The sequence below is a fragment of the Homo sapiens genome, chromosome X, assembly GCF_000001405.40.
Source record: "Homo sapiens chromosome X, GRCh38.p14 Primary Assembly".
Lineage (NCBI taxonomy): Eukaryota > Metazoa > Chordata > Mammalia > Primates > Hominidae > Homo > Homo sapiens.
Window position 1 is genome coordinate 57,669,576 of NC_000023.11, and position 11,738 is coordinate 57,681,313.

General features: G+C 42.6%; 1 protein-coding gene across 1 annotated transcript; it reads right to left on the minus strand.

Moving 5' to 3' along the window:
• Positions 1–7,491: 7,491 nt before the first annotated feature.
• Positions 7,492–10,685, minus strand: NLRP2B (NLR family pyrin domain containing 2B). Its single transcript, NM_001319967.1, has one exon. It carries the CDS (start codon positions 10,683–10,685, stop codon positions 10,548–10,550), a length of 138 nt encoding a protein of 45 aa, NP_001306896.1. The 3' UTR covers positions 7,492–10,547.
• Between the last annotated feature and the right edge of the window lie 1,053 nt (positions 10,686–11,738).

Consider the following 11,738-nt stretch of genomic DNA (forward strand, 5'->3'; position numbering starts at 1 on the left):
CTTCTCTAATCCAAATGTGCAAAGAGCTGAGTATCACCCAGATAACTGCCATTAGCCATCCTCAAAAGTGTATTTCCTACCTAATTATTACACACCAAAGCTCTCTCATAATGAGAAGTAATTTCGGATACTCCCCAACAAACTCAAGATCATCTGATAACACAATGCAAAACAGGACAGAGCCTTAGATTTTGAGAGGGATCTATCCACTTTTAAATACTAGAGTTTCATGAGGAAAACAGAGAAAACAGAGGTTTTTCCAAAATGAGGTCTTATGGCACCTCATCTGTTTTTCTCAAGGAGTCCCAGGCTACCAGAAGTTATCTCAGGGCCTCAAATGTGTGCATTAAGAGTGACAAGACAAAATGGAAGAAAGTAATTCCGTTGACTGAGAAAAAAATTTTCCAGAAAAACAAGATCCAAGAAGAGAAAAAACCTTTTTAAATATACCTGTAGCTTGGATATCCACTTTTAATTAAGCTGATTTTAACCATGGCACTCTAAAAAAAAGAACTCTTTTAAGTCTCTTATTTCCCAACTTTAGCCACACTAAGTGGCCAATACTTCTGTCTTTTGAATGTTACCTAAGGTACTGTCCAAGGTGCTCAGAGAAAGACAATTTCAAGATAGTTCATGGAGGGGAAGAGAACAAACAAATGGTAAAGGTCACACAGATATCAAACCAGAAAGGACTCATTCCCCAAGCCAGGATTGAATCTGGGCCACCACTATAAAATGGCAAAGCCCCAGCTGCAGATCGGCAACATTGGGCATTCTCCACTGCCCTTCAGAGAAGGAGTCTAGAGTAGTTCATTATAAGCTTGTAAAGGCTTCCAAATACTCAAGAAAATTTTTAGAGTTATGACATGAACCCCAAAATTCTTCTTCTGGATGGCAGAGACTAAGAGAAAGTACTTCCACATGGTTACAGGGTCAAGCTCCCAGGGACATAAAGCAAGATGGAGACCTCATCCAGTTATTTTTGTTTCAGCAAACTGCAGCAAAGTTTGTTACTGACTAGCCTGCTGTGTCATATTGAGCAGTGAGCTTATGGGGTCCTAAGACCGTATTCTCTCCTAAGGTACTCCTCTTCATGACAGAACAACACATAAAGACAAATTTATAGCACAAGATATACCAAATTTGCTGCAGCTTAAGACTAGCCTCAGAATTTCTTTTCACATTAATCAAAACTTTACGGAGGAGATAAACAGTAATTTTTACCATTCATTCGACCAGTTCACATAGAGAGAGAGGAGGCCAGAAGTCCAACTGGTAAGAAATTCTTACCTCTTTGCCAGCATGTCAGGTTTCTGGGTTCTCCTTCCTTGAGCAGCCCTAATGATCCTGCTTGACACTATGCAAACAAACACATTGCCATGTATTAAGAACATTCACAAATAGTTCTAAAATTTTGGAGAAATTAGGCACAGAGAAAGATACATGACTCAAATTCTCTTTGTGAAAGTATACTCAATACACTTAAAGTATCAGGGAGCCTATTATCCAAAGAGTTACTTTAAGGTTAAAAAGCTGATGTGCTCCATCAATTCCAGCAGGCATGACAAAGGTAGCCTAGGAATTCCAGATAAATGGAACAAATGATGACTTGCTAGAAATGAATAAGAAAGAAAATAACTATTCACAGAACCAAAGAGAAGCCTTCCACCAGAAACAAAAAACAAAACAAAACAAAACAAAACAAAAAAACAAAACAAAAAACCCATTGTTTTATATATATGGATACACAAGCAAAACCCAGAGGAGAATAAGGAACAAATGAATAAAAGTCAGAAGCAAAAACAAATAAACAGGAAACCAATCCTAATTTTTTTTTTTTACTCAATCTACCTTGGGGCTTACACTGTTACCCAGGGCCCCTCAAACCCACATAATGAATATTTTATTCCTGATACACAATTCAATATTCTTAAGTCGACCAATATCACCATACATCCTGTGAAATCAAGAAATTCACTCTGGGCATGTGACCAATAAGTACTCCAGTGTCAGCATTATCTGTGCAAAACAGTGAACATAGGCTGGACATGTTGGCTCATGCCTGTAATCCCAGCACTTTGGGAGGCTGAGGCAGGCAGATCACAAGGTCAGGAGATCGAGACCATCCTGGCTAATATGGTGAAACCCCGTCTCTACTAAAAATACAAAAAAATTAGTCAGACATGGCAGCGTGCACCTGTAGTCCCTGCTGCTGGGGAAGCTGAGTCAGGAGAATGGCACGAACCTGGGAGGCTCAGCTTGCAGTGAGCCGAGATCACGCCACTGCACTCCAGCTTGGGTGACAGAGCAAGACTCCATCTCAAAAACAAAACAAAACAACAACAAAAAAAAAACAGTGAACATAGTGTGAAAGAATGCAAGCACATATGTGAAATTTGACTCCACACTCTATCTGGCTTTATGCTTAACTGTATTAAAAAACTGCTAATACATTTCCTTACAGTATTTTTTATTTGACTTTAATCAAGACTAAAAGCTTTAACTATGAAAATGTTAATTAGCCAAATTTCTCCAACTCTATCAGATTTTAAAGAATATTTTATTATCTAAAGTTTTTCCACATCTTTCTCCCTTACTTACTGGTTCCTTACTACATTGTTTCATAAATAACCTTTTCAAATCTGTAATTTGAACTAACTTTTAAATAATTTCTGAATTAGAAAAAATATTCTTTTTCTCACTAATAACACAACACTTTATGGCACATTTTGCATACAGAATTGTGTGTTAACTAGAATTCTTATCATTAGTAACCTAAAACTTTAGTGAAACCCTAAAAAGCAAGAAATCCTGAACTATTAGATATAAGCATTTATAGATAAGAACAATTTTACAATTTTAGAAACATTGTTCCTCATATCAGAGCCCTTTCTTAATTGGAAATGATCCAGATATTAAATGAGCATCAAAAATAATTTTAAGATTTTAATTTACAGAAAAAGTTTACCTAAAACTTTTATCCCATTCACTGTACTCAATTATTTTATTTTTAACAGTTTATCTAGATTGCTTCTGTAAACTGAGATATTAGACACTATCATTTAAAGTTATTTTCTTGTTAACCATGTTATTAATAGCCAAAGAACATCAGATGCTCACCTAAACCTAAGAGGCTCAGAGTTAAATACATAGGTATTTTTGCCAGTAACTCAGAAGATTTAGCTAAAAACATTAAATTACTCTCATTTGTCAAAAAAAAAAAAAAAAAATGAAGGCATGCAAACCAAGATCATTTTGTTTTGGTTAGATTTAGAGTTTTATAACCTTCTATGCTAAACCCTAACACCTCAAAATATCTGGCAGAGACCAATATAAAATACAGAAAAAAATTTATGCTGCCAATTCTCAAGGCATTTCTATTTTAATTTTACCAATAATTTTGAAACCAGCTCATTTAGTAAAGTTATACTTAAGTCACATGAACTTGAAAATTGCCTAGACTTATTTCATTTATGAGTGCTCTTTTACTTACAAGCCAATTTGGTAGATGCAATATATAAAAATAAGTATACTTACAAGTAAACACATCTAGACATGTATACACACACACAGATGAAGATCTAACAGCTTTTACCTCGTAACTCTAGCCATGAGATAGTAATACAAGCTCACTGCTTTTACTTTGTTTGCCCCAATAGCTAATCCAATGAAGGCTGTGAACCAAAGTTTTGGGTAAAGCAGTTCCCATGGCAGTTTTAATTTTAAAGGCCAAACCTCCTCAGACTCCAAAGAACACTGAGGTCAGTCCTTTGCTTAGAAGAGCAGCACAAAAGCCTAGATACATGCAACTTCATCTCACTTTTCCATTCAACAGCAAACTCCAGATTCCAAACAGTATTGGTGCCAAACAGCATTACCAAAGTTGCCATTGTGATCTGTGAGAGAAAATTTTAGAAAGGGCTTAGTATTGGACCTCAGAATCTCTACCTAGGGCATCCCCTTTGGAGAGGTGAAGGTCTGGAGTTTGATCCCCCGGGGGCATCCCCTTTTGGGGTCCAGTATTACAGTGTCAGAAATCTCTGACTTTATGTGGGCACCGGTACCACTTCTTTTGTTTTCCCTTCAGAGGCAATGACTTTCTATGAGCTTTCCTTTGGTTCCTGGGTATCATCCCTGACTTTTAGCATCCTTATAATTTGATAAGACCATGCTTTCCCATGAATCCCGTTTGACTACAGTGATAGCCATGAACTGTAATGATAGGAACTGGAGGCTGAGTGGGTTTTTTTTTTCTTAGCTATTGGGGGAACCCGCTCCCAATATTTCAACATAGGTTCTTTCTATTTTCCATAAGTGTTGGCCAGCAGAGAAATAAAAGGAGACAGTACAAAGAGAGGAATTTTACAGCTGGGCCACTGGGGGTGATATCACACCCCCGTGATGCCCACCTGAGTCTCAGACCAGCAAGTTTTTATTAAGGGTTTAAAAGGGGAGGGCGTGTAAGAACAAGGAGTAGGTACAAAGATCGCATGCTTCAAAGGGCAGAAAGAAGAACCACTAATAAGGGTCTAACAAAGATCACATGCTTCTGAGGGAACAGGACAAAGGTCAAAAGCAGAACCACTGATAAGGGTCCAACAAAGATCACAGGGCAAAGGGCAAAAGCAGAACCACTGATAAGGGTCTATGTTCAGCAGTGCACGTATTGTCTTGATAAACATCTAAAACAACAGAAAACAGGGTTCAAGAACAGAGAACCAGTCTGACCACAAATTTACCAAGGCAGAGTTTTTCCCCACCATAGTAAACCTGAGGGTTCTGCAGGAGACCAGGGTGTATCTCAGTCCTTATCTCAATTGCACAAGACAGACATTCCCAGAGCAGCTGTTTATAGACCTCCCCCCAGGAATGCATTCCTTTCCCAGGGTATTAATACTAATATTCCTTGCTAGGAAAAGAATTTAGCCATATCTTTCCTACTTGCACATTCGTTTATAGGCTTTCTGCAAGAAGAAAAATATGGCTCTTTTTGCCCGACCCTGCAGGCAGTCAGACCTTATGGTTGTCTTCCCTTGTTCCATAAAAATCGCTGTTATTCTGTTCTTTTTCAAGGTGCACTGATTTCATATTGTTCAAACACACATGTTTTACAGTCAATTTGTACAGTTAACACAATTATCACAGTGGTCCTGAGGTGACATACATCCTCAGCTTACGAAGATAACAGGATTAAGACATTAAAGTAAAGACAGGCATAAGAAATTATAAAAGTATTATTTGGGAACTGATAAATGTCCATATTAAGGTGAAATCTTCACAATTTATGTTCCCCTGCCGTGGCTCCAGCCAGTCCCTCCATTTGGGGTCCCTGACTTCCCGCAACACTTAGCCAGTCAAGTAGAGGAAGGGAAGAATTTAGCATAACATGAGAAGATTTAAATGACCTGAAATGCATGCAGGTTCACCCCGAAGAGCTGTGCCACATGTAGAGATCAGGAACCACAAACAGAAAAGATAGAAAAGAGTTCTTCCCCTTTCTGGGCAGAGCAACTTCTCCATTCACTCCTCGGCCTTCAGGCAACACAGGAGCATGGCCCTGGCCAGAAACCGGCAGTTACCTCCATGTTTAGGTGCTGCCCACCAAGGGTCCTGAGTTGGAAAGGAAAAGAGAGACAGAGATTCCCCTGTATGGAGGAGAAAGAAAAAGGAGAAAAATAAACCCTAAACTTTGGGCTTACTGCCTGGCTGGCTCACCAAAATATGTTACCAGTCGGGGGTGTCCAGGTTCCTGGTGTTTTGAACAAAGAATTGGACAAAATGTACAAAGAAATCTTGGAAAAAATGAGAAACAAAAGCAGAGATTTATTGAAAACCAAAGAACACTTTACAGGGTGGGAGTGGCCCGAGCAAGTGGCTCAAGGACCCAGTTATGGAATTTTCTGACATTTAAATATCCTTTATAGGTTTCCCATTTTTAACTTGGTATACACCCTATGTAAATGAAGAGGCTGCAGTGAAGTTTCAAAGTTATTTACTTGGTGTACACCCTATACAAATTAAGAGGATGAAGTGAGCTTATAAACTTATATACTTGATGTACACCCTATGCAAATGAAGCGGATGTTTCCTGCCATAGCTGAAGTTGAGCTACAAAGTTATTTACTTGGTCTTAGAAAGTTGTGGTTTTTCTGCTTGATTTAGTTCTAGGAAGTCCTTAGGTTCCCTGTCCCCAGCCCCTATTCTTCTGCCTCAATAGGAAAGCTGCTGCAGGACTTGGCAACCTTCACTCAGGATCCCTCTGTTGTTACCAGATGTCAATCAAAGAAATAACCTCAAAGAGGTTTATTTCCCAAAGTTAAGTATGTATGCCTGGGACACTGGTATATGCCTTTCTTCCAAGATGATTATGAGGGCTTCAAATTTAAAGGGGAAAGGGTGGAATATTGAGAAATACACAATTTTCATGTGAGAGGGTAGGAGGGGAAAATAGTCATTTATGTATTTGTCTGGCTCAGTGAATCTGCCTTTTTACATAAGATAACATAGACAATAGAATAGAGAAAAATAATAAGATATGTGTTTGTCTTAGGTGGGTAGAGGGACGACTTTTAGTTCTGTCCTATGTCCTCCATACCTGTGAAAATAAGCTATCAATTTACATTGCCATGGTGAACTTTATCAGAAATGCTTTAGGCTAAAGATCTTGGGGCTCACAAAAAAATTTCCTTGTGGGCAAAATGTGAAGGAGGTATGTACCTTTTCATCTTTGTATCCATCTCATCTAGGAACAAAAGTTGGAGGCATGTTTGCATGACCCAGTTCCCTGCTTGACGTTTCCCTTTTGCTTAGTGAGTTTGGGGTTTCAAAATTTATTTTCCTTTCACATTCCAAAGAAGTGCAAAGCAGCCTTCACAAGATTCAGAACCACTGATAAGATAGCTCAAAAAAGGGAAGTTTCACCAGCTCTAAGTGGATTACAACTCACATTTCCATCTGGTCATATCTTCTAGCACCTATGCTTCTCAGTGAGCACCCAAGTATGAAGGTCCAAACTCTCCATATGCCCCATAGATGAAAAAAGCCAGGAAATCAAAAAGGATCAATGGAAGGGAAAATAATCAATAACAAATGAGTATCCCAAAAGTTCAAAAATTATACAAATGGGATTGGTTTTCTGACCAGAAATGGATTCTGGGTGTTGGCAATGAAAGTACGGAATTCTAGCCAAAAGATAGAGTTGCTTTTTTTTCTTTTCTTTTTTTTTTTTTTTTTTTTTTCTTTTTTGTGAATGCTCTCACCTTTATTTCTCTCAATATACCCGTGATACGTATATTTCATACATAACAAGGTTAAGGACATGCGCACATTCTATGTAAAACAGAGGCAGAACCATGGCTAAAACACCTAGCCCAGCAATCAACTCATTATCCCTGAGAAGTGGGGATAGGGGAGGGGAAGAGTCACAGGCTGTTCACCAACACCTGGAAAATCCATGACTTCATTGAGAATGAATGACTCTGGGGGGATTCAGATAATGAAGTAATGAAAAGAAAGCCTTTTTTCCCCCCCAAAGGATCATGTTTCTCAGTTATCAGCAGGCAGTTGTGGGTTGTTTTCTTCTATTTCTTCCAGCAGCTTATCGAGTTCAACATTAAAGTCATCTATTTTCAACCTGAGTGTCTGGAGGGTGCAATTTGGATGTGTCAAGGTTTCAAACAGCATCTTTACTCCACTAGACCCCAAGGGATTCTGGCTCAGGTCCAGAACGACGAGGCTGTGGTTGCAGCTGAGCACAGAGCAGAGGTCCTCACAACTGAACAGAGGGATGGAACACCCCCACAACCACAGACATCTCAAGTTACACAGTGGTTTCTTCAAAGCCTCACATAGGAGCTTCACTCCAGTAACTCCTATGTGATTCAGTCCCAGATCCAAGCACATTAGGCTTGATTTTTCTTGGAGAAGCTCTGCGAGATAACAGCAGCCATTGCTAGTTATGTCGCAGTCCCACAGCACCAGGGTCTGTAGTTTACAATGGGGGTAACTCAAACCCTTACACAGAAACATCACCCATGTATCCCCGAGTGGGGGGTTCTTGGCCAAGCACAGGTGTGTCAGCTCCCCGCTGACAACCAAAACAGCAGCAAAGTTCTTGCAATTGCCTTCTATAAAGTGACAGTTTTCCAACAACAACCTCGGCAGGAAGCATTTTGGGTGTCTCAAAGTTGTGTACAGCAACTTGGCACCCTCATCCAAGAGCTCATTGTGAGAGAGGTTTACACATGTCAGGGACTGGTTGACTTCAAGGGCCAAGGAGAGATCAGCCCATTGCTAAGTGGTGGTGGAAAAAGACACCAACCCGAGATATTGCAGGTTACATTTTGAGTGTCTCAAGACCTTACACAATGCAGGAAGCATATCATTCTGGTCATTGCCTTGAAGGGTCAGATATCTTACAGTCTTGTGACCTCAAAGAGCTAGGCAGAGGTTCCGATAAGCATCAGCTGGTGAAATGTTTTTGAACATCACTCTCTGGAGACGACAGGTGTCAGAAGCTATTTGTTCACACAGGATCCTTACTAATGTGGCACCAAGAAAGCTATTATTGATTTCTAGAATGATCAGATCCTTATTTGAGCCAAATATGGAACAAAGGTCGGTCCAGAAAGGAAGCATGTGTTGATCATCCTGGGATCTCTCAACTTCAGCATCTGATTCAGACACAGTGACATTCTCTGGGAGCTTTGCCTTTGCTGCCTGCAGTGGCATTTTCTGCAAGTTTCGACAATGCTTGAGGCAGATTGAAAACAGCATAATGTCTACTGCATTTAAGTGCAGGGATATTTCTTTGAACGGAGCCATCACTCCCTTCACCAGCTCCTCCTCCTGAGACTCGTACAGACAGCACAAGAGCTCCTTCGGGTTCATCATTGTTGAGTGTCCAACCTTTTCACAATTTATCTCTCATCACAGTAATTCCTTTTTGATCTCCGGTGACATCAGGCAGCCCAAAGTGGTCTCCAACTCCTTGGCTTTCTTCTCGTTGGCGAAGCCGAATAAGAAGTGTCTTGCTTGGATCAGGTCGGGGTTCTTGAGTCTTTCTTCTCTAGAAAACAGCTTCTGCACGTCTCCATTGTCCCAGGCGTGGCCGTCCTTGTCCTCCTCCTCCTCCTCCTCCTCCTTCTCCAGGGCGTGGAACAGCACAGTGAAAAACTGCTGGAAGCTGAGGTGGATGTAGGAATAGCAGCCTTTAGAGACTATGTCCTGGCGGAGGATGTCTCTGTCCAGGGACGGGCGGATGTTGAACTCCTGCACCCCGAGCCTCGCCAAGTCCTCTCCACGGAACACTGACATCTGCGCCCACAGGCCCTGTGCCGCCAGGAGGCTCAGCGCCCGCAGCACGCCCCAGAGCTGTGCGCCCTGCGGGAACCGGCCGCAAAGGAAGCGCAGGAACAGCCCCGTGCGGGTGGGGCGGGTCCTTCCCCTTCTAACCTCTGCAGCTTCAGACTCATGCACATGATCCAGCACACCATGGGTGCCGAGACAGGCTGGAACAGGGCCGCGTTTCTTCTCATCAGCTCAAAGGCACACATGGCTTGGTCCTCGTCTCCAAAGTGTCTCAGGAAATATGCCCTCCTGTCCTTCTCCAGGAACTCCTCCACCCTTACATAGATCGGCCGCTCCACCAACAGCCGGAGGTCTCTCAGGGCCCGCAGGCCACGTGGTGACCAGCACGGCGGCCCTGGGTAAAATCTTCCTCTTCAGTAACCTCCCCAAGAAGACCGGCACCGGCTTCTGCTTCTCCCAGTCCCCACAGATGTCCTAGATCAGTGCCCCAGGTGGGGCTCCCAGCTCATCAAAGCCGTCGACCACGAACAGGATTTTCTGTGCTTGGGCTAGGATGTTTGGAATGTCATCCTGCAATTCAGGCCAGTTCCTGAAGACCAGCTCTGCAAAACTGCACGGGCCCAGGCAGATGAGCTCCTTGCAGGTGAGGTAGAAAGCCTATCTAAATTTCTGGCTGAGGTTGTCCTCTGCCCAGTCCAGCATTAATTTCTTGGCCAGCGTGGTTTTCCCAAGGCCCGCAGGACCATGCAGCACCACCGTGTGTGGGCAGGGCCCGGGAAGCACCCTGGGGTTGCTGAACGGGATCAGCATCTTGTATCTCTGAGCCATAATATGGACCACTTTGAGGTCTCCAGGCCAGGTTTTCCACATTTGCCAGAACTTCGTCTTCAATATACTCCTGTACCTATCCTCTTTACCTGGCTTTTCTCCTTTCAAGACTTCTTTAGCTTCTCTTAGGCTGGTGACATCTTCCTCCGTTTCTATAAACTCTAGTGCTTCTGCTTCGAAACGCCCCAGCATTTGTTTCAGGTCTATAGGTTTTGGCTCTTCTTTCCCTGTTTTCCCTAATGATACAGGCTTGATTTCAAAGTGTCTTCTCTGAGTTCATCCTTTACTTTCTCAGACAGATCCGCTCGGTGCATCTTTTCAAAGACCTGGATGGTCTCTATCTTCATCCAGTAGCTGTGGCAATGGCTGGTGATGATTTCTGCCAGTTGCTTCCCATCAGCCTTGTCTACCTATGTCTGGGGGATCTTTTGCAGCTCATTTCCCAGGGAGACGGTCCTGATCAGAGACTTGAACTTGCACAAGTCATCCTGGCTGAGCTGTCCCAGAAGAGCCTGCAGGTTGAAGTCCAGCTGTGCAGAAGACACCATCTCGTCTGACGTGGGAACTCTGATGAGAATTAAGGGAGGAATGGAAAGGGATGGTGAGTCAGCAATCCTGTCTCAACCGAGTCCCCTCTGTGCCATGAACAAGGATACTCTCACCATCTACCTTGCTTCTTCAAGAACAAATTCCCAGCCTGGGCAACATAGTGAGATCTCTATCTCCATAAAAAATAAGTTAGCAGAGGGTGGTGGTGTGCACCCACAGTCCCAGCCACCCAAGAGGCTGAGACGAGAGGATGGCTTGAGCCTGGGAGGTTGACGCTTCAGTGAGTCTTGATTGTGCCACTGCACTCCCATCTGGGCAACAGAGAGAGACCTCATCTCACTTTATCCTTATTTACTTATTTATTTTTGAGACAGTTTCACTCCGCTGTCCAGGCTGGAGTGCAGTGGTGTGATCTCTGCTCACTGTAACATCCTCCTCCCAGGTCCAAGCAATTCTCCTGCCTCAGCCTCCCGAGCAGCTGGGACCACGGGCACCTGCCATCATGCCTGGCTAATTTTTGTATTTTTAGTAGAGATGGGGTTTCACCACGCTGGCCAGGCTGGTCTCAAACTCCTGACTTGAAGTGATCTGCCCGCCTTGGCATCCCAAAGTGCTGGGATTACAGGCTTGTGCCACCGTGCCTGGCCTTTATAAATTAACAGATAACATAATTGCAATAAAAAATAAAGAATAGCTCAGCAAGTACACATGGCAGTGACAATGGACAAAAAGTTACCACCTGACACTTTACATAGATTGGATTACAAATAATATAGTTTTTATTTTTATTTTTATTTTTTATACAGAGTCTCACTCTGTCGCCCAGGCTGGAGTGCAGTAGCACAATCTCAGCTCATTGCAACCTCTGCCTCCCGGGTTCAAGCGATTTTCCTGCCTCAGCCTCCCCAGTAGCTGGGATTACAGGCCTGTGCCACCATGCCCGGCTAATTTTTGTATTTTTAATAGAGATGGGGTTTCACCATGTTGACCAGGCTGGTCTCAAACTCCTGACCTCAAGTGATCTGCCGTTTTGTCCTTGCTGTTGTTGTTGT